General features: G+C 38.3%; 1 protein-coding gene across 2 annotated transcripts in view, besides 1 other annotated feature; it reads right to left on the bottom strand.

Annotated features, from left to right (window-relative positions):
• The window catches only part of BMPR2 (bone morphogenetic protein receptor type 2), a 191,423-nt gene continuing 168,042 nt past the window's right edge, over positions 546 to 23,926 (bottom strand). The window contains exons 11-13 of one of the 2 annotated variants that reach the window (NM_001204.7): positions 15,407 to 15,579; positions 11,764 to 13,043; positions 546 to 8,599 (exon numbers count right to left, since the gene is read on the bottom strand). In NM_001204.7, coding sequence (NP_001195.2) covers positions 8,349 to 8,599; positions 11,764 to 13,043; positions 15,407 to 15,579 — 1,704 coding nt within the window. In that variant the 3' untranslated portion in view covers positions 546 to 8,348. The remainder of the gene's footprint in view (positions 8,600 to 11,763; positions 13,044 to 15,406; positions 15,580 to 23,926) is intronic. The other variant, XM_011511687.2, reaches the window with a different exon arrangement.
• Positions 22,545 to 22,614: a silencer, noted in NCBI's record as "silent region_12245". NCBI's record gives its function as "represses an Ori minimal core promoter by ATAC-STARR-seq in GM12878 lymphoblastoid cells {active_cell/tissue: GM12878}" and the evidence as "EXISTENCE:reporter gene assay evidence [ECO:0000049][PMID:35858748]".

Below are 23,926 nucleotides of genomic sequence, written 5' to 3'. Positions count from 1 at the left end.
TTGTTGTGAGAATTATCAACAATGTATGTAAAATAACTAACACAGTGCCTGGCATATAATACATGGTCAGAAAATAGCAACTATTATACTAAATTTAGTTTTTTTTTTTTTTGAGACGTAGTCTCGCTCTGTCGCCCAGGCTGGAGTGCAGTGGCGCGATCTCGGCTCACTGCAAGCTCCGCCTCCCGGGTTCACGCCATTCTCCTGCCTCAGCCTCCCGAGTAGCTGGGACTACAGGCGCCCGCCACCGCGCCCGGCTAATTTTTTGTATTTTTAGTAGAGACGGGGTTTCACCGTGCTAGCCAGGATGGTCTCGATCTCCTGACCTCGTGATCCACCCACCTCGGCCTCCCAAAGTGCTGGGATTACAGGCGTGAGCCACCACGCCCGGCCTATTTATTTTTTTTTATTTTTTATTTTTTGATGTATCATACTGAGTTATGAAAGTCATATTAGATAGAACATTTACTATTCTAGTGCAAACTCCCTAATTATCATACTAACAATTTCTGGTGACCTCTTAAAATAAAAAAACACAATTACTATTGTCATTAATATGATCTTTAATAAACGGAATAACGCACCATTTTACAGCAAGCCTTTTTAAACCTAAAGAACTGCCTTAAAATCTCCTTCTCCAATGTCTCTGTATCAATACAATCTTTTTATTTAGGTTTATATATATCAAAGCATTTACTTACACTTATTCATAGAAAACTCTTTAGTGGCTTAATGTCAGCTTTCATAGTGGCATCCATAGATAATACAAAAGAAAAGTGATTTGCTTTATTTTATACTCACACTGATCCATCAAACACAACTTATACAGCATAGCAAGGCTTCAGACAGCTTATACAAAAGCAAAATAACTGAAATTATTCATAAAGTCATATATGATAGTCTATCTGTAATGTAAGAGCAAAACACACCAACAAAAGATACCCGTTAACAAGAAAGAGGGTTCTGAGGAAGTGCGAGTATTTTCTAGCCTTTCTTTTTCCGGAAAAGCATCCTCAGAAGTGAATACTCCGTAGCTTATGTTTCTCCTGTCCATTCAGAAAAAGCATGACAGCTACGCATCTCCATGTTTCAGCTACTACAACACCCTAAGAGTTAGTGTATTTTACAATTATCCATGTATCTTTATTTGAAAAATTATCAGCAAAAAACTGAGGATGATTCCAGCTTACATAAACACTGATACAATATAATCTCTATGGAAATGAAATAACAAGGCATACAAAAATTGCTTAAATAAATAAATGTGGCCAGAAAAAGAAAAGCCACAGAAGTCAAGCAATTCAGTGTTAAACTGGGACCTATCTTTGAATTGCATCTTTTAGTAATTTTTTCTTACTGTTAAGCTTCTTTAAAAATATGTTTCCTTTACATACTTACGAGGATTGGTAACAAGGTGAAGAGCCTGAGACAAGAGACTGGTTACAGATAACTTCCTAGGATTTTAAGTATATAGCACATCAATTTAGAGCTTGAACTTGTCTGATTCAAAGAAAAATTCTGTTTGACAATGTGATAAATACAGGTTATTTTCTCAAAACCATCCAAGCTATTACTAAAGTTATAAAATATTTAGTTCACTTTTAGAAGGCTTTATAACGTTAAATTGTCTCTTGAGAAAATCCTATCTGACAGGAACTACTTTACCAAGTTCCCTTATTAAAAAACAAACAAAATGAAACAATTTGTCCCATATCATGTATGGTCATTTGACCAAAGAACAGAAATGTAAGTCGTTTTAAGTCAGTGCTTCAACTCTAAAGGCCTAAATTTGTTGCAACATGTAGCCAATTAGTTGAGTCATTCCCTCTGTTCAGTAATTACAGAACTGGGCAACTTTTTATAATTAATGAAATCTGATATTATATCTATGTGAAAAAGTCAAATAAGATGAAACATTAAATGAACTGTGCAACAAACACTTTAAATATTCAACTGGATCTAATTGCTTACTTGCTAACAATTGAACTTTTTCAGTGTACAAAGGGATGAAAGGGGCCCTGAGTTTTTAAGTAACATGATGTCTGTAGAATGCATCTAAAACATGAAGATGTTTCTGAAATCTAAAGGTATAAATAAAATGGATAAAACCCACATGTTGCCTTTTAAAACTGAAAACCAAATCAAGTTGTAGTTTCAAATACAGTAATTTGCTTAAAAATTCAATCATAAACTGGACACCCTAATGATGTGATTTTGTTCTGAAGATTCCTTCTCTCTTACCCAGATTTTAAAATGGGTTTCAAGTTGTTTTAAAAATGTGTATGTTCACAATGTTTAATAGTAACACTACAAACATCACAGTAATAACAGAATTGGACTTTTAAAGATACGATAGATTTATTTTGAGCCTAGTTTTAATATACAGCATAAATTCTTCTGAAGTACTTTCAAATGTATCTGCCATGAGATAAATTTCTAGGTTTTTCTCTATATGCACACTCAACTTAAATCAGTCACCTAAAAGTTAAATGAAAGTTGTATAGTCCAGTCTATGTTGCAAAATAATAAGTATTTCAAAAGTGGTCTACAAAAATGTCCATAGATAATACCTGATTAATGTAGGGTTTGCTTTTGAAAGTTAATCTTGCATTTAGTGTTTAATATTTCATACAAAAAATATGTAAAAGGTTGTGGCTCAATCATAAAACTAAGCTTGCTGCAATATGTTAAAAAATTTTAATGGCAAAATGATATACAATTCTGTGTGCATGGCTTTTTAGTTATAACTAATGAGAATATAAAATCATAAAATTCCACAATAGAAAATGTTAGATAACACAAAAATTAAGTGCCGATTTGCTGGTGGTCTGATGGTTGAATCCACTTTCAAATAGAAACATCTTAACTCTCGATTCTATCAAACTATCAAACTATTACTTAACTGGAGTAATGAATTTGAATATAAAAGAAAATATAATTCTATATTCTTAAATATAAAGTCATTAAAATAGGACTGAGGAGAAGAGCTTAAGCAATTTTGTCTGAAGAATTGAGACTTAAGTGTTCATTGAGAGGCCTGAAGCATACTGAAGACTAAGAATATTGGGGATGATGACCAACTGCTCTTTTTTGTCCTACTGGGTAAAAGAAAAAAATTTAAAATCAAAGAGGAGGGAGACAGAATAGATATGAAGAAAACTTTCCTGACACAGACTACAAATCAGATAACTGAGGTTTGGAGTAAGTCAGACATAAACTATGAGGTGATTTTTTTTGTTTTTTTTTGAGATGGAGTCTCACTCTGTAGCCCAGGCTGGAGTGCATTGGCGCGATCTCGGCTCACTGCAACAACCTCCGCCTCCCGGGTGCAAACGATTCTCCTGTCTCTGCCTCCCGAGTAGCTGGGACTACAGGCGCGTGCCACCATGCCTGGCTAATTATTTGTATTTTTAGTAGAGATGAGGTTTCATCGTGTTAGCCAGGATGATCTCAGTCCCCTGACCTCGTGATCCACCGTCTCGGCCTCCCAAAGTGCTGGGATTACAGGCGTGAGCCACCGCGCCCAGCCTAACTATGAGGTGATTTAAGGAAAGTAATGGGAAGGTGCACTTAAATGCCCTGTGATTCCCTCTTTTCTTTATGTTAATCTGGAAACTTGTAGAAAAGCCTTCTCTTGATAACAAATTTTATGTAACTAGCTCAAACAGTGATTTGCCAGATTTACTTAATCAAGGAATATATTTAGGAGGGAATCATGCAAGATAGTTTTGGGTAAAGTTTGCACAGTTCATAATCTAAAAGTTAAAATGCAACCTTATATGCTGGAGAGTAAACTGCCAGTAACAGTACATTTAGAAACATTGCATTCTGAAAAAGTCTCCTGGGGTTTATGTGGGAGTGTTACAATTTCCAGAATGACTGGTCTAGATAATCAACATGTGTGTCCGGATTTTAACTTTAAGAAGTTAGATGGGAAGATAAAGCAATATATGAAGCAATCTGTGAATAGTTACATAATAACCTGCACATAACAGGTAGTAAGTTCAACATAACTTTATAAAATGTTGTATGGAAATATAATCTCAAATTCTAGGAGTTAATGATCTCCAATAAAATATTCATGTCCATAAATATGAAAAAAGGAAAAGCTCATTGAAATATTTTTCCATTTTAAATGACTTTCAGGAGGCACTTACAAAGACTAGAAATTTCAGTGTAACAGCTACAGCCTACCAATTCCACTTGGCTGTAGAAGTCAAATTTGAAAATAATTTAAATAAAAATACTTGCCAATGTTTTGTGATAATTCCCACTGAAGCCCACACTTACTTGAGTGTTCCTTTCTCTCTTTAAATATTTTCACATTCAGAACCAATGCACATTTTCTGGAACAAGTGGATACATGTAAAGAAGCTATACTAAACTTTTATAAAAAGGACATTATATCCTTGTATCCTTCCTATATCCTACTCAATTAGTTCTATAGATTAGTAAATTTTCTAAAGTTATTAAAAGCAGAAGTTTTGAAGATGGATTCAAAGGATTGATGAGACTGAAATTCTTTGTTAATTCCCCCAAATCTGCTATGGAATCAATTTAGGGAAAGGTCTCTGTTCCCAAAGCTATCTTAACTTTTTCCGTAAAATTTACTTTACCATTAGTTCTGCAATGTAAGAAATGTTAGGAGTGAAGTGAAATGATTTTAAGATTCATGATGGAAGATACAGGATTGAGTTTTGTCTAGAATTAGTAATTATTTCTCAAGCAACAATCAGCATAGATATGTCTACATATCTCATATTTGCCTAACTTCCCAAATCATTAAGGTATGTGGTTTGGCTCATATACAAATGAAAATTGTGCCAGAGTATAGTGACTGAATTTTTATGTTTTTTTTTTGAGGCAGTCTTGCTCTGTCGCCTAGGCTGCAGTGCAGTGGCGCGATCTCAGCTCACTGCAACCTCCACCTCTCGGGTTCAAGAGATTCTCCTGCCTTAGCCTCCTGAGTAGCTGGGACTACAGGCGCCCACCACCACGCTCAGTTAATTTTTAAAAAATATTTTTAATAGAGACGGGGTTTCACCATCTTGGCCAGGCTGGTGTTGAACGTCTGACCTCATGATCCACCCGGCTCGGCCTCCCAAAGTGCGGGGATTATAGGCATAAGCCACTGCACCTGGCCTGAACTTTTTAAATAAACGTTAGCCCATTACACATCCTGTCATATGGCATGTAGGCAGTGTGGTATGGATGAAAGAGATGTGGAGAGAGGCAGACATAGACTGAAATCCCAGCTTTGTCTGTTACTAGATGTGGACCTTGGGCATATTACTTAGCTTCTCTTAGCTTCAGTTTCCTCATCTGTAAAATGGGAATATTAATTACAATGCTCATATGGTTGCTCTGAGGTTTAAGAGAAATAGCATATGTATACTTCAGCATTCAGTATGTGCCTTCTTGTAACTTCCTACACTGGTAACAGTGGGTTTTTTTTTTTGCCAATTATGCATTTAGAAAGTTTTAAGAATTTACAATTAAATCATTTTTGTCTAAACGTAATTCAAATCAAGTTCTTTCAGTGACCTAATTCTGGTATACAGTTAGGATTTTGTTAAGGGAACTAATATTAGACTTTACCTATTATGATGCTTTTAAGGTTACATTACCATCCAGTGAAATAAATTTTAATATTTTTAGTTGAATGATCTTTTATTCAAAAGGACCCCACTTTTCTACATATAAAACTTTGTGATAGCAGTTAAATGTCAACTTTAAGAAGCATTTATTATCAGATGAGTATTAGCATACAATTAAGTCATTTAAAATAATTTTGCTTGCTTGTATATTACAGATTTTAAAAGTCTGATGTACAATTTAAAATTTATAAAAATGATATATACTTTCCACCTTTCCTACTTTTTCAGGAGTTTACTAAGAAAAACTGGTGAAAGGAAATTATTTGTTTTAAACATGCTTGAATGAAATAGTAAACTATTCAGTTATTTTAATCTGGCATATTAATTTTTAAAGCATTTTATCATAATTTTCCCAATATTAAAAAATGTTGGACAACCTACAATCAACTGGCCCAAATACAAATATAGCAGAACGTAAGATAACTCTTCTGGCAGGAAAAGATCAGTTAGACCTCAAATGGTCATTTATCCTCAATGCTTCAAATTGGAGAAGGAACATAATTTATTTTGATTCAAAGTTGTCCTACAAATATTTGAAAAGAATATCCTAAAATGCATGTGAAAGATATTTAAGGGCAAGAGAACTAAGTGAAAATGTACTAGGAAAGATAAAAATAATTTGTTAATAGAAGAATAATAACTGTGAAAAAAATTACGTGCCAGAAGACTGAAAATAGATTAAGGGGCTGAATAAAGAAAAGGGCCAATAAAACACAAAACGTGGAAATCCTGGGCACTAACAAGATATTCTTAATTCTATGAATCCAGAACTGTGTTCAGCAATCCAGCTGAATAAATGGTAGGTATAGTAACATCTAACTTGTAAGATCACAGCACATGGCAAATGAGAAGGCTTATATACAAGTAAATCACAAATATTTTGGACAGAAAATTGGGAAATTTAGGCTGTCTTTAGCTAAGTGATAAGATAGAGGAATATGAGTGAGAAAATATTGTTCAGGAGATAAAAACATAAATCAGAAATTTGGTGATTTGTGTTTTCCTCTTAACCTTTTAATCCCTGGAACTATCTTAGAACTAAACTATATAACATTTACTAAGTACTCTGATAATCGAAAAAAAAGTAAAAAAAAGTGAAATCATCAGTTTGCAAATTAATAGAAAATAATTTCTGTTTAGAAAAAAGTCCATTATTTGACAGAAAGTGCTTTATTTAAAAAAAACATGCAGAGGTTGTTTTAGAGGAGATTATAAGTAATGAAAGAAGCAAAGGGCTTTTAAAAATAATATGATTTCAAGTCATTTTATTACTAAAAGGTATACTCTAATGTAAATAATAAATGTTGCTCACATATCAAAGATAATGTGAAAAACTGGCAAAAGGAAAAATTATGAAAATAGGATTAAGGAAGATAACACAATTTTGAAAAGAGAGAAGTTTAGTCTCAGTTTGCTCAAAAAAGGTAGGTTTGATAGCAGCCCTTCCTTCATAGGGACTTGGCATGCCACTTGAATGATTTTTCCTCACAGTGTTTTAGGTCATGGGAAGAGGAATCATTTTCAGATAAAGTCACCAGTCTTTGCTTGGGAACAGGGTAAAAGATACTATAGGTTCAGAACTATAAATTACTTCTGAAGTTATAATAAACAGTAAGGGTAATTTTATGAGTCAAAGATGGCCTATTCAGAGAATGAAGGCTATAACACTATTTTGTCTTAACCATTTATTTACCTACTTAAAAATTCCATAAGTGTAGCTCTATAAGCTTACCAATAAAAATGTATTTCTTAAATAAATGAACATGGAACATGAACCTACATAGAAAAATAAAATAAAATGGGAAATGGCTAATATTTGATGTCCTGTATTTTGTTCTATTCTCTCTTATGAACTCCCAAAACCAGAAGCAAATAAGTTTATTAAGATGCCTTGAAGGAAACATTTAGGATTTGGAAGGTTAAAAGAAATGGCATTTCAAGTCAGGTTTTGGTAGTTCCTTCTTTAGAGCCCTTTCAGACAATGTTTCTGTATTCTCCATGATAAGGAGAGAGAAAGTAAGAAATCAGGTAGCTGCTTCTCCTGTGCAAAATTCACTGTCATAGAACTGACCTTCAAAAGTATGGGAGATGGGGCAGAAAAGTGTTTATATTATGGAAGAATATGTGCCCTGTTAGGAAGAGAGCTTACAAGAAAGCTTATTTGTGGCCTATAAACTATTGCACATTCAAACAAAACACAAGAGAAAAGATGTCCAACAAGATAATATGTTCAGGAACGTATCAACATAAAAACTAGCTTGTGCCCAGAAATAAAACATGGATACCAGACACCACTGCAGTCAAACCTGTCTTAATTTGCTTCTGTTTTAATGACCTTAAGAAACTGGTCCAAACTGATTATCAGCAATACATTGTTTTTGCTTTTTTTCTTAAAAAAATATTTTGAGACCACTTTTGATACACACACATATAACTCTGTGGTCATAACAGACAAATATAACTTTAGCGAGACTAAACAAAAGTGCAAAACTTAAAAAACAAAATTTAAAAATATGGAAGCATAAGCTAAATTTTTCTGCATAGCTGAAATCTATTTAAAGCAAGTCTTTGTTGCAGGGGTGGGAGGGGGTGCTGACAGGAGGATAAAGCAGTTTTTTTTTTATTTTTAAACATCTTCTGCATGTTTAAATGATGCAAAAAATAATTTCACTCCATAGGCTTGAAAACATTTCACAGACAGTTCATTCCTATATCTTTAGACACCATGGTTGTAGCAGTGCCTCCTTCTGCAAGGTAAACAGCAGTGCTGGATTTGGAATGAACTGCCCTGTTACTGCCATTATTGTTGACTTCACAGTCCAGCGATTCAGTGGAGATGACCCAGGTGGAGGGGCGCCACCGCTTAAGAGAATAGGGAGTTTTCACACGTTTCTTGATCTTTTCACCTGATCCTGATTTGCCATCTTGTGTTGACTCACCTACTGAAAATAAAAGTGCAGAAAAATGAGCTATTTAACAAACTTAAGAAATAACGGGTAAGGGATGTAACTCAAGAAAAGGTCAAACCAATGTCTCAGGAGGGTGCTAATGAACATTTCTTGAAATTCATAATGCCAGACAATGTTTTTCCAGGAAAAGCTTAACCAACTTATTTTTGAGACTCTTTAACCCAAATGTTTTAATAACTGATTGACTTATTTTATAAGGCAAGGGAAAACACACACACACAAAACACAGGAGAACATTTAAACTTCTCAGCTGTATTCTCAAATCTTCTGGTTTTGGTAGCGATCTTAACTTGGTAAAATGTACTTAATTATTGTATTTAATTGTATTTAATGCTCAAGGTGGATCAAATTTTTTTTTTTTTTTTGGGGGATGGAGTCTCACTCTGTAGCCCAGGCTGGAGTGCAGTGGCATGATCTTGACTCACTGCAACCTCTGTTTCCCGGGCTCAAGTGATTCTCACGCCTCAGCCTCTCAAGTAGCCGGGACTACAGGCGCATGCCACCATGACCAGCTAATTTTTTGTATTTTAGTAGAGACGGGGGGTTTCACCATCTTGCCGAGGGTGGTCTCAAACTCCTGAGCTCAGGCAATGTGCCCGACTCAGCCTCCCTAAGTGCTGGGATTACAGGTGTGAGCCACCATGCCCAGCCTGGATCAAATTTTAAAGGCACCTGGCATACAATATTTTTCAGAAGAATAACAGAAATATTAGAGTACAAACATTCTAATAATTTCCTCTTCCTATATCTGACAAGATTTTTTTTTTTTTTTTTTTGAGATGGAGTTTCATTCTTGTTGCCAGGCTGGAGTGCAATGACATGATCTCGGCTCACCGCAACCTCTGCCTCCCAGGTTCAAGCAAGTCACCTGCCTCAGCCTCCCAAGTATCTGGGATTACAGGCATGTGCCACCACGTCTGGCTACTTTTGTATTTTTAGTAGAGACCGGGTTTCTCCATGTTGGTCAGGTTGGTCTCGAACTCCCGACCTCAGGTGATCCGCCCGCCTCAGCCTCCCAAAGTGCTGGGATTACAGGCGTAAGCCACCATGCCTGGCCTATCTGACACGATGTCTTACTGACTCAGAGCCCTGCAATAAAGGTCTGTCAACTGATCTGTAATACAAGCCACTCAAGCAAGGGGCTAAATTTTCCTGATTGTGTTTTGAGACCTGTATCCTTCCTTCAAGCCCATTTTGTAGCCCTTGACAATAAAACATAACTTTTTTTCATAAATGCCTTAGTCTAAAAGAGAAATAGGCTGGGCGCAGTGGTTCACGCCTGTAATGCCAGCACTGTGGGACACTGAGGTGGGTGGATCACCTGAAGTCCAGTGTTCGAGACCAGCCTGGCCAACATGGCGAAACCCCTCCTTTACTAAAATACAATAATTAGCAGGGCATGGTGGCACATGTCTGTAATCCCAGCTACTCGGGAGGCTGAGGCAGGAGAATCACTTGAACCCGGGAGGCAGAGGTTGCAGACCACCACACCAAACTAAGTTTTAAATTTTTTGTAGAGATGGAGTTTTGCTATGTTGCCCAGGCTAGTCTTGAACTCCTGGCCTCAAGTGACCCACCCACCTCAGTCTTCCACAGCACTGGGATTACAGGCGTGAGCCACCGTGCCTAGCCTACAGTTTCTTTATAGTAATTTTCCCAAAATTTCTCTGGATCTTTAAGATTTATTAAGGTTAGTTTGATAAAACCTAAATGCAGACATAATCAATATTAATATATGCAATAAAATGTTTCAAAGATTATACTGGTATAACATTACTTGGAGCTCTTGAACTGTATTTACTTTATTTCAACTTTTCATAGCAAGTATGTGAGTTGCATTATAAAGCAGCAGCCACATAAAGCACATATTAAATTGGGTAATTATTCTGACTATTGTGACACTGACTTTTTAATTATCAATGACAAAAATATTACTTTTTTCTTTACAATAGTCTAATTACCTTTGAGGCCCAACCAAATGGCTTATTTATTTTTTTTCCTGAGATGGAGTTTCGCTCTTGCTGCCCAGGCTGGAGTACAATGGCGCAATCTCAGCTCACTGCAACCTCCGCCTCCTGGGTTAAGGCGATTCTCCTGCCTCAGCTTCCCAAGTAGCTGGGATTACAGGTGGGCACCACCACACCCAGCTAATTTGTGTGTGTGTGTGTGTGTGTGTGTGTGTGTGTGTGTGTGTGTGTGTGTGTTTGAGACAGAGTTTCATTCTGTCACCCAGGCTGGAGTGCAGTGGCATAGTCTCGGCTCATTGCAACCTCCGCCTCCTGGGTTCAAGCAATTCTCTGCCTCAGCCTTCCGAGTAGCTGGGATTACAGGTGCCCACCACCACACGCGGCTAATTTTTTGTATTTTTAGTAGACACAGGGGTTTCACCACCTTGGCCAGGCTGATCTTGAACTCTTGACCTCGTGATCCACCTGCCTCAGCCTCCCAAAGTGCTGGGTTATAGGCATGAGCCACTGTGCCTGGCCATTTTTGCATTTTTAGTAGAGACGGGGTTTCACCATGTTGGTCAGGCTGGTCTCGAACTCCTGACCTCAGGTGATCCACCTGCCCTGGCCTCACAAAGTGCTGGAATTATAGGCATGAGCCACCACGCCTGGCCCAAATGGTTTATTTTATTTCATTATTGAGATGGAGTTTCACTTTTTTGCCCAGGCTAGAGTGAAGTGTCGTGATCTCGGCTGGGATTACAGGTGCACGCCACCACGCCTGGCTAATTTTTGTATTTTTTAGAGATGGGGTTTCACCATGTTGGCCAGGCTGGTCTTGAACTCCTGATCTCAAGTAATCTGCCCGCCTTGGCCTCCCAAAGTGCTGGGATTACAGGCGTGAGCCACCGCGCCTGGCCTAATTTTTTTTATTTTTTAGTAGAGATGGGGTTTCGCCATGTTGGCCAGGTTGGTCTTGAACTCCTGACCTCAGGTGATCCACCTCCCTTGGCCTCCCAAAGTGCTAGGATTACAGGTGTGAGCCACTGTGCCCCGCCTCAAATGGATCATTTACAAAAGTGGTAAAGGTAAATAATCACTAGTTGAAATATATCTATTAGTTGATTCTAAATAGTTATTTAAATGGCCCCAAAAGACACACAGGAGAGATTATATGATCCCTCCACTTACTCTGTATACTGCTGCCATCCAGGACATTTGTGGCTGAAAGATCCAGAGAATTAGGCCTCTGTGCTCTTCTGGGCTTTGATGGCCCAGGATCTGCTGCTGTGCTTGGAACACCCTGTGCAAGAACATCTTGTTCTGAACATGGATTGCTGTTGTTGTTATTGGAATTAGTTCGGCCACCTTCTAGTGGCCGTTCCCTCCTGTCCACAAGACGATCCAGAACACCTTCATCATGGCCAGCTTGTTGCTCTCGTCTCAGTAAAGGCTCATGCTCATCAGGACTGGAATTAATATTCAGCCGGGTGTCCTCACCAATAAACTGATTCTGCAACATTTCTTGGGCCCTATGTGTCACTATGTTGGTTGTTTGGCCAGATAGTACTGTCCCATTGGCATATTGGGTTGTGGCAGCATGGGAGTTAACACTGTGGTTTCTACCTGCCACACCATTCATGGTGACTGTCACCACATGAGGTTCTGCTGCATTGATTGTATTCATCTTGGCAACTCCAGTTTCGACTTGTTTCAAGTTTGATTTGTGCTTGCTGCCAAATTTTAGCCGGGGCTCTTTTGTTGAATTTTTGGTGTTCAAAGGCAAACTAGTAGGTCTCTTGGGAAGGTTCTGCTGCTTGGGGAGAGGATAGATCTGAGTAGGCAGAACATCAGGAATCAAACATGCTTGGCCATTTGCAGTCTGTGTGAAGTCCTGCTGTCCAGTTGCTTCTACTGCAAGTTTTATGAGTGGGTAAAGCAAGCTAGAACTAGTACTGCTCAGTGGGTCTGGGCCACTGAACTGTTTAAGAGAGTGCTCCATGAGATTCTCATCAGAGCTTTCCTTGAGGTTCTTATCAACTTCTTTTGGGTCTAGCTTGTTGGTTTCCAAGTCTTCTTCTGTCAGCTGTAAGCAGACAGGGGTTGGCCCAATTGACTGTGCAACATTTGTGGTATGCAGATTTGTTTCATCTGGGTATGGCATCTCAGATATAGTAGTCATGCCAGTACTTGGCGTGAGTCCTGTGGTGTTTGTGGTTGTTGTGTTGGTGGAGAGGCTGGTGACACTTGTTTCAGGGCTGGGGATTCGAGCTTGTGCTTGCTGTCGTTCATAGTTAATTGAATTTCGGTTTTTTTCCCCTATAGTCAAAGGTGTGCTGGACATAGAATGCTCAGAGGAAATATTCTTCACGATGCTGTCAGTATGATGGATAGAGTCTTCAATGTATGAGGAGGAAGAATAATCTGGATAAGGACCAATTTTTGGCACACGCCTATTATGTGACAGGTTGCTTAAAGAAAGAAAAAAAGTATCACATTGAGAACGTACATTTATGACAAACTGTCTCTCCAAATTTAACACCTCTGATTTTAAAGTCTGAGTTGTTTTTCATTTTCTTCCAAACGTACATTTTTCTAAAGGTTAAAAAGTCTAATCAAATAATCAAGTGTCAATTAATAACTTGATAAGTGTTAGTTTTATGTGAATTAAGCCTACTGAAAAATGTATGTGGATGAGATATAATTTTTATAAATGTTCATTATTTTGGTTTATAAGTTAATTAAAAAATCTCCCCTATAGTTTTATAACATCATGAAATATATATTTATGGAATGTATATTCATACAACCAGACGTTATGTTTTATGAGAGGAAGAACCATGGTATATGTTTTCTGTATTTCCATAATTCTAGATGCATAGTGCCTACTCAAAAGGTATGTTATCAATTAAGTTCCAATGGCCAAATAGTAAAAAGAATATAAGCTTTTAGGTTGTTCCAAAGGCCTCCATTAAGAGGCATGCCCTAGTAATGGCACATATCTTTCTGGGGTAGTCTGAGTCATATCAGTAAAAGTCCTTGAGCCTAAGGTATAAGGCAGAATATGATGTTCAAATAAAGGATCAAAGATTCAGAACTGCTCTCCAATTATCATGGGTTCTTTGCTGTCATTGTCATTCCTTGGGAGTGACAGTTATTTATAAGGGAGATGATAGAAGGAAAAGAAGAAAAAAAAATTGTTATACAGTACAAGAAAAGGAAGCTAAGGAGACATGGAGGGTAAGACTCAGGAAAATAAAACCTAGAGTTAGCGTAACTATGGGATGAATTATAATTTTGAGGAAATTATTAGTAGAGACTGGAGATGAGAAGATGCATGCAGAAGGTTGAGCCGAATGACACAGGAGGCGAAAAGTGGCCAAATCAAGGTGGGCCATCAAGGTTTTTTTTTCTTACCATTCAAGAAAAGTTTGAAAGCATTCAAAATAAAAGCTTTAGCTGACTTTTGAGAGAGGTAAAAACATCATACTAGAGGACATGGGAAATACAGAGATGAGGGGAGATAAAAGCAGAAGACTGTCCTCAGGTATGTGTAAAGTGAGAAAATTTATAATTAGAATTGCCAGTGTCTAACTTTCTTGATTTGCTGATATACAAGGTATAAGAGTTTATATTTGAAACTAATTTGACCTATACAAAAGTAGTGCAAACCAAATTTTTCACCTATGGCTAATACAAATAGCTTTCACAAATTAGAACAGAAAATAGGCCGGGCACGGTGGCTCACACCTGTCGCCTATAATCCCAGCATTTTGGGAGGCCAAGGCAGGCAGATCACCAGGGGTCGGGAGTTTGAGACCAGTCTGGCTAACATGGTGAAACCCTGTCTCTAATAAATATACAAAATTAGCTGGGCGTGGTGGCTCGTGACTGTAATCTCAGCTACTCGGGAGGCCGAGGCAGGAGAATCGCTTAAACCTGGGAGGCAGAGGTTGCAGTGAGCCAGGATCACGCCACTGCACTCCAGCCTGGGGGACAGAGTAAGACACAGTTTCCAAAAACAAACAAACAAAAAAAAACAAAAACCACACAGAAAAAAAAAAAGTTTCAAGAATCGAGTTTATTTTTATTTCAATTTTCTCCAGTAACCCTTTCCTGGATGCCTTTCTGAAAGTTTTAAACATGTATTAGACAAAATGACAAAGTCATAGAAAGGCTTTTTTACCCCAAACATGGAAAAAAGAAATACAGATGTAGAAAGTTCCAAATTGTAGGAATTTTTAAAAAGCCTTTCTATTTAGAACCAAAAATCATAGTTCTAACAAAGAAAATGTCTTGTAAAATAATATTAATGATGGAACAGAAAGACCTTTGAATTGCTTTCATATAAAAGTAGTAGTAGTATATTCTATAAGAAAGAGCATTAGATAGGAAGTCTACAAACCTTAGTGTCAGTGAAACAGTGGTTAGATAGGCAAGTTCATAGTTCCATTTACTTAAAAAAAAAAGCAGAGGAAGAAGGAATAACAACAAAGGATAAATGAGACAATTTATATAGAAGTGCTTATGAACTTTTGGAGTTATAAAAACATTTTACCTTTATTATTGCAGGAAAGTTGGACCATAAATAGAGAAAGACTAACTTCTTTCACTATACCTTTACATATTAAAAAATGCAGATTTCATCTTGCACTTGTACCAAACAAAAATGTTCAATAGAAGAATAGGAATATTGAAAGAAAAATGATAACTTTAGATTGTATGAGGTAATCATTGAACTATTAGGCTGGTTTAAAAGTATTTATTTTCTATTCTTTGTTGGGTCTCAGTTTCTAATACTGATTGATAGATGCCACACCCCTTAGGGTCTTACCGTTCATTCTGCATAGCAGTAGACATTGGATTGACTGTTGGGCTCACAGATTTGTTTCTTTCCCAAATCATCATAAGTTCAGCCATCCTTTCCTCAGCACACTGTGCAGTAAGCCGAGCCTCTGCATCCTGGTCCCAACAGTCTTCGATTGTCTCCTTGAGTGACCTCACTGCCTGTAAGACAAAGTACATGTCAAACCATGTGTCTTTAAAAAAAAAAATGTATTGAGCTTTTCAGTTTACCACATGAGGTAAAAGAAAAATCAATTACCTTAACCAGTATTTTACATAGCTCTAATAACATATTTTAGGCTTCAAGGATTACGGAACATGCTCAAAAGGTGATGAACAAGTAAGCAAGCAAGATTTACCTTAACTCCTTGAAGAATTATTCATAAAAGTAAAAGCAACAATAAGTCGTAGATGTTTCTTCAAGGCCACAGGTTTAGGTCATTGTTGCTAATTCAGTTACGTTATGTCAATCAATAGCCACTAATTCTGCTTCAAAAATAAGTTTTGAGTTTGATGGAACTTGGGGACATTTGGCTGTCTTCTATCTCTAGGTGAGCTTTTCTCCTTTACCCCCAGTTAAGGATACTTGGTTGGGCGCAGTGGCTCACGCCTATAATCCCAGCACTTTGGGAGGCTGAGGCAGGAAGATCACCTGAGGTTAGGAGTTTGAGACCAGTTTGGCCAATATGGTGAAACCCCATCTCTACTAAAAATATAAAAAAATTGGCCAGGCGTGGTGGTTCACACCTGTAATCCCAGCACTTTGGGAGGCCAAGTCGGGTGGATCACGAGGTCAGGAGTTCGAGACCAGCCTGGCCAATACAGTGAAACCTCGTCTCTACTAAAAATACAAAAATCAGCTGGGTGTGGTGGCATGCGCCTGTAGTCCCAGCTACTTAGGAGGCTGAGGCAGAAGAATCGCTTGAACCATGAAGGCAGTGGGCCGAGATCATGCCACTGCACTCCAGACTGGGCGACAGAGTGAGACTCTGTCTCAAAAAAAAAAAAAAAAAAATTAGCCAGCATGGTGGTATGCATCTGTAGTCCCAGCTACTTGGGAGGCTGAGGCAGAATTGCTTCAACCCGGGAGGCAGAGGTTGCACTGAGCCAAGATCGTGCCACTGCACTCCTCCCCGGGTGACAGAGTGAGACTCCGCCTCAAAAGAATAAAAAAAAGAGTGCCTCATTTCAACCTTAAAACTTACAGACATCTCTTCTTTAAACTAGTTCCAAAACAGTAGTATCAAAAACAGTCCCATTCTGCAGTATTCCTATCTATTAGCAATGAACAATAGTCTCCCTATAATAGTCTCCCTTTGGGGGAAAGCTAGTTTTTTGTTTGTTTGTTTGTTTTGAGATAGAGTCTTGCAATGTTGCCCAGGCTGGAGTACAGTGGCACGATCTCTGCTCACTGCAACTTCCGCCTCCCGGGTTCAAGTGATTCTCCTCCCTCAGCCTCCTGAGTAGCTGAGATTATAGGCGCCTGCCACCACGCCCGGCTGTTTTTTTTTTTTTTTGTATCTTTAGTAGAGACGGGGTTTCACTATGTTAGCCAGGCTGGTCTTGAACTCCTGACCTCGTGATCCACCTGCCTTGGCCTCCCAAAGTGCTGGGATTACAGGCATGAGTCACTGCGCCTGGCCAGGGGAAAGCTGGTTTTAACTCCCTTTTTAAAAACAGACTAGGTTTGTTTTTAAACATCCACATGATTCAATCATCCTACTCTTAGGTATTTACCTAAGTAAATGAAACCATATGTTTATACAAAGACTTGTATATATCTACATCTGCTATTTGGGATGCTGAGGCAGGAAAATTGCTTGAACCCAGGAGGCGGATGTTGGAGTGAGCCGAGATCGCGCCATTGCACTCCAGCCTGGGCGACAGAGCAAGGCTCTGGCTCAAAAAAAAAAAAAAAAAAAAAAAAAAAGCTGATATGCTCTACAAGAAATGTTAAAGGGAGTCCCTCAAAGGACATTAGATAATAAGTAGAACCCAAAAGCCTACTTAGGTAACTATAAAAGCCACTATTATTATATTTTTGGTTTGTAACTCCTTTTTAAAAACAAAAACAAAAAAAGAGGTCTCATTCTGTTGCCCAGGCTCGAGTGCTGTGGCATGATCACAGGTTACTGCAGCCTTGAACTCCTGGACCTAAGCAATCCTCCTACATGAGCCTCCTGAGTAGCTGGGACGACAGGCAAGTACCACTGTGCCTGACTAAGGCACCACTGTGCCAAAATGTTCCTTCTGCCTCGGTCTCCCAAAGTGCTGGGATTACAGGCAAGACCCATCACATCCAGCCTCCTCCTTTTTTCTTATTTAAGAGAGAAAAGCATAAAATGATAATTATAAATCTAGGCTAGGCATGGTGGCTCATGCCTGTAATCCCAGGACTTTGGAAGGCTGCAGTGGGAGGACTGTTTGAGGCCATGAGTTCAAGACAAGCCTGGGCAACATAGCAAGATTCCATTTCTACAATTTTTTTTTTTTTTTTTTTTTTGGAGATAGGAGTCTCGCTCTGTCGCCCAGGCTGCAGTGCAATGGCGCGATCTCGGCTCACTGCAAGCTCCACCTCTTGGGTTCGTGCCATTCTCCCGCCTCAGCCTCGCGAGTAGCTGGGACTACAGGCACCCGCCACCACACCTGGCTAATTTTGTTTTTGTATTTTTAGTAGAGATGGGGTTTCACCATGTTGGCCAGGATGGTCTTGATCTCCTGACCTCGTGATCCGCCCACCTCAACCTTCCAAAGTGCTGGGATTACAGGCGTGAGCCACTGTACCTGGCCAAAAATTTTTAAAAATTAGCTGGATGTGGTTGTGCACACCTGTGGTCCCAGTTACTCAGGAGGCTGAGGTGGGAGGATCACTTTAGCCTGGGAGGTCAAGGCTGTAGCGAGCTATGATGGCAGCACTGTACTCCAGCCTGGGTGATACAATGAGACTCTGTACTCCCTCCACCACCCCCAAAAAAGAATGTTTAAAATTAAAAAGACTGGCAATACCAAATGTTGGCAAAGATGCAGAGAAACTGGAACTCTTATGCACTGCTGGCCAGAATGTAAAATGGCACAACCACTTTAGAAAACTGGCAGTTTCTTTTTTCTTTTCTTTTCTTTTTTTTTTTTTTGAGACAGAGTCTTGCTCTGTCGCCCAGGCTGGATTGCAGTGGTGCGATCTCAGCTCACGGCAGCCTCTGCCTCCTGGATTCAAACGATTCTCAAGCCTCAATCCCGAGTAACTGGGATTACAGGTATGCACCACCACACCCGGCTAATTTTTGTATTTTTAGTAGAGATGGGGTTTCACCATGTTGGCCAGGCTGGTCTTGAACTCCGCCACTGCGCCCGGTCACAAAAACTGGCAGTTTCTTAAAAAGTTAAACATATACCTACCACATGATTCAACCACTCTACTCTTAGATATTTACCTAAGTAAATGAAACCATATGTTTATACAAAGACTTGTACATGAATATTCACAGCAGCTTTATTTATAAAAGTTGAAACTGGAAATAAGTCAAATATCCATCACGAGTGGATGGACAAACAAACTGTATCATATGCATACAATGAAATACTACTTAGCAATTAATAAACTATGGCTACACATAAGAACATGAATAATAATTATAACTAATAATAATATTATAACTAATAATGAACATGAATAATTATAACTAATAGTTAATTATAACTGAAAATAATCATACTGAAAGAAGCCAGAAAAACAGTACATTTATATGATTCCATTTATATAAAATTCTAGAAAATGTAAACTAATCTCTAGTGACAGAAAGCAGATCAGTGGTTGCCTGGGGACTCATGGGGGATAGAGAAAGTTGAGGAGAGATTACAAAAGGGCACAAGAAATCTTCTGGGGGTAATTGACATGTTCACAATCATGACTGTGATGATGGTTTTATGGGTGTATACATATATCAAAACACACCTAAATGTACACTTTAATACGTGCAGTTTATCAATTATAGCTCTTTAAATGTACAAAAATTGAGAATAAATCAGAAGTGAAAACATAAATATTCAGGCAAAATCTGATGCGTCCTTTGAAAGGGGACTCTAACTCTAGGAATAGGTAAATAATGATACCTTAATGCTTGTGTAAATAAGTTAAAGGGAGTGGCATTATTAACACTAATGAGGAAAGACAAGTAGGGGGAAAAAAAAGTAGAAAAGATAAACAAGGAACTTTTTCAATCTTTCCTACCCAAAGGAAGGAAAACGTAAGTTGGATCTCATGGGTGGGTCATAAAATCAGCTCAGTGGTTTAAAACAAACAACTCTAACCAAAACTGAAATGCTCTAGACTAGAATAGAAAACACTAGGACATAGAGTAGGTGGTAAGGTTAAGTATTATACTATATGTAATGATGTAAACTTTGCTTTTTTTTTTGAGATGGGGTCTCACTATGTTGCCCAGGCTGGACTGCAGTGGTTATTCACAGGTGGGATCATTGTGTACTACAGCTTCACATTCCTAGGCTCAAGCGATACTCCTCCCTCAGCCTCCTATGTAGCTTAGACTACAAGTGTGCACTATTGCACCTGGCTGAAGTTGTATTTCTTAATGTGGGTTGTGTCAGATGAAAAAGTATGTAAAATGTTGAATTCTAGATCACAGAAGTCTATAGATTTTGTCCAAAAGAGAAAATGGAAAAACTAAAACTATGTGAAAAGAACTGGTAGTTTCTTCTGAAATGTACTATATATTTCTTAAAAAGACCAGAGGGCAAACATAAACTGAGGAAGAGTTGCCGCATTTTTTTTTTTTAAGATGGAATCTTACTCTGTTGCTCAGGCTGGAGTGCAGTGGTGCAATCTCGGCTCACTGCAATCTCCACCTCCCAGGTTCAAGTGATTCTCCTGCCTCAGCCTCCTGAGTAGCTGAGATTACAGGCACCTGCCACCATGTCCGGCTAATTTTTTGTATTTTTAGTAGAGACAGGGTTTCACCATGTTGGCCAGGCTGGTCTAAAACTCCTGATCTCAAGCAATCCACCCACCTCGGCCTCCCAAAGTGCTGGGATTATAGGCATGAGCTGCCGTGCCTGGCCTTTTTTTTTTTTTTTTTTTTGTGATGGATCTTGCTCTGTCGTCCAGGCTGGATTGCAGTGGCATGATCTCTGTTCACTGCAACCTCTGCCTCCCGGGCTCAAGCGATTCTCCTGCCTCAGCCTCCCAAGTTGCTGGGATTACAGGCATGCACAACCACACCCAGCTCATTTTTGTATTTTTAGTAGAGATGGGGTTTCACCATGTTGGCCAGGCTGGTCTCGAACTCCTGACGTCAAGTAATCCACATGCCCCAGCCTCCCAAAGTGCTGGGATTACAGGCGTGAGCCACCGTGCCTGGCTAAGTTGCCACCTTTTATGTGAAAATATATTAGGATAAAACCATTGATTACAAGAGGTTATACAAAACTAACACTAAGGAATAAAGAAAAGCCAGGCAAGTGATTTTAACAGGGGAGAGAAAAGAATTCAAGACAGACTAAGAAATGGAGTATAAACATTTGGAAAAGAGGCTGGGCTCATACCTATAATCCCAGCACTTTAGGAGTTCGAGGCTACAGTGAGCTATTATTGTCCCCCTGCACTATAGTATGGGTGACAAAAAACTGGAAAAGAATGGAAAACATGAAGAATGGTAGTACAGTTAAACAAATTATACCTGAAAATTTTATGTAGGAGGAAAAAAGCTACTTTAAAATAAACGTGGCCTATAATTTTTTATTTTACCAATTTAAAATATTTTAACATAAAACAAAAGCCTTAAACTGTGTGTGGGGGCCAGGCATGCTGACTCATGACTGTAATCCCGGCACTCTGGGAGGCCGAGGTGGGAGGATTGCTTGAGGCCAGGAGTTTAAGACTAGTCTTGGCAACTACCCTGTCTCTACAAAAACAAAACAAAACAAAACAAAACAAAACAAAACAAAACAAAACAAAACACCGGCTGGGCACGGTGGCTCATGTCTGTAATCCCAGCACTCCGGGAGTCTGAGGCAGGTGGATCATGAGGTCAGGAGTTCAAGACCAGCCTGACCAATATGGTGAAACCCCATCTCTACGAAAAACACAAAAACTAGTCAGGCATGGTGGCACGTGACTGTAGTCCCAGCTACTCGGGAGGCAGAGCCAGAAAAATCGCTTGAACCCAGGAGGCAGACGCCACAGTGAGCTGAGATTGCGCCACTGCACTCCAGCCTGAGTGACAGAGCGAGACTCTGTCTCAAAAAAACAAAAACAAAAACAAAAACAAAACCATGTGTATGTGATTGTTAAAGTAGTTCATTTTTACTGTAAATTCTGAAACATATAGGAAGAAAAAGTCATTTATGAACTCAATATTCAGAGATAACTATGGTTTAACATTTTCATGTATTTCCTTTAGACTATTTTCTATGCTTTCATTTTTATCAGGAAACTATTCTTCCCCCCTTTATTGACTAAACTATGCTTGAGTCCCTGGCAATTTATAAAATTAAAGCTAGTTTTTATATTCATTAATATTTGAAAGATTCTGAGTTTTACTACTAAAGGAATGTTTCTTAATCTCAATGCAACTATGAAAGCAAAAATGGCTTCTTTAGACATAGCTGCATTTCTCTCTTTTTATAAACTATGTACTTGCTACCTAACTCTAGTATTGGATTGTCACTGCAGAGAAGCAGTTTATTGACTGTAGCACATTAGATTTAAATGGATTCCCTGGAAGTGAACCAAGTATTATGAATTCCTTACTTGGCAACCTACTCTATACTGGAAGTAAAAAGTTTTCAGGTAAATATGCATATGATGCATATCTCATAATAATAGGGTTGCCGAGAGATATTTCAAAATAATAGATCCCATTTGCGCTGGTGAAATAAAACAATTTAAGGAAGATGAAGTTGTATTTTACTAGAATAAAATTTCACAGATTTTTCTTTTAGGGATACTCTATTGTGAGGCTGGCACCTCTAATTAATCCTAGTAAAGTATTCAGCCTCTCACTTGCTATCAGGGACCTCTCAAAAATCTGTCCCAGTTCCCATAGCAGGGACTGTAGTTTTGGAAGCAATCTTGGACGTATGTGCTTGACAATAGGCTCCTTAATTGCCACATACTTAAATATTTCAATCTGACTTGAAACAGAAGCCAAACTTGAAAGTAACCTAGTGACTAAGATAACCAATGAAGACAGTGCTCATTCTAAATCTGTATGGAAACTATAATGTGTCTCTACCCTGTCTCTGACATGACATCACCCCACTTAAATCAGGATCCAAAATGGAAATATTATTTTAGTCCTACCAAGACAATCTAAAATTGAAATGTGAAAATACATAGTAAAATAATTTAAGTTGCTTATTTTTTCACTTTTTGTCCTTTTATTATAGTCAAGAAAATTAATTTGTGTAAAGCATAAAAACAACACCTTCAGAATGAATCACTCTTATTACATTCTGGAAATAAGAACAGATTGCTATGGAAAAGGCAAACGAGTTTCTGGAAATATAATTATGATCGTGGAAGCTAAAACTTTAATGAATAGATAACTGATACAAGGGTAATAGTGAAAACTAAATGGGTCATTTGAAGATAAAGCTGAGTAAATCTTGAAAAATGTAGTAAGGGAGGCCAGGTGTGTGGGGAGGGGAGGGGGACGGGAGGAAGAAAAACATAGAGGGAGAAAAAATGGAAAATATAAGAAAAAAATGATTCTTAGAATGTCAGGTGGTACAATATTTGTCTAGTGGGAATTCCAGAAGGAAGAATTGAAAGGTAAGAAATAATTAAAAAAAAATACCAGGCCAGGCATGATGGCTCATGCTTATGATCTCAGTACTTTGAGAAGCTGAGGTAGGAGGACTGCTTGAATTCAGGAGTTTGAGACCAGCCTGGGAAACAAAGCGAGACCCTGTCTCTACCAAAAATTTAAAAAGCCAGGCAAAGTGGTATGCACCTGAAGTCTCAGCTACTCAGGAAGATGAAGAAGGAGAATAGCTTAAGCAGAGGAGTTCAAAGCTGCAGTGAGCCATGATCACACCACTATACTCCAGCCAGAATGACAGAGCAAGATCCTGTCTCAAAAAAAAAAAAAAAAAAAAAGAAAGAAAAAGAAAAAAGAAAATTCCTCTGAATTTAAGAAACTTTTGAATTTTCAAACTGAAAACCTACCCAGTGCCAAGCAAAATGTGTGTAAAGATCCATGCCTACAAACATCAAGGTGAAATTTCACAATTCTAGTGATAAAGTCTTAAAAGCTTATAGAGAAAAAAAATTAAGAGGATAAAACAAAAACATAACGAAACAAAAAGCAATGAAACGATTCAGGATGGCACTGAAATTCTCATTAGACTGGAGACTAGGGCCTAGAGCACATGGAGATTGTAGGCTAGAGAATGATGGAGTAGTAGTTTCAAAGTTGTGAAGAAAATAATTATGATATTGAAACTATTATCCAGCCAGATTATTACTCGAGTGTGAGGGCAAGATAAAAAC

This window comes from Homo sapiens, chromosome 2 (assembly GCF_000001405.40).
Source record: "Homo sapiens chromosome 2, GRCh38.p14 Primary Assembly".
NCBI classification, from domain to species: Eukaryota; Metazoa; Chordata; class Mammalia; order Primates; family Hominidae; genus Homo; species Homo sapiens.
Note: the sequence above shows the minus strand (reverse complement) of the source record. Positions and strands in the feature narration are given on the sequence as shown.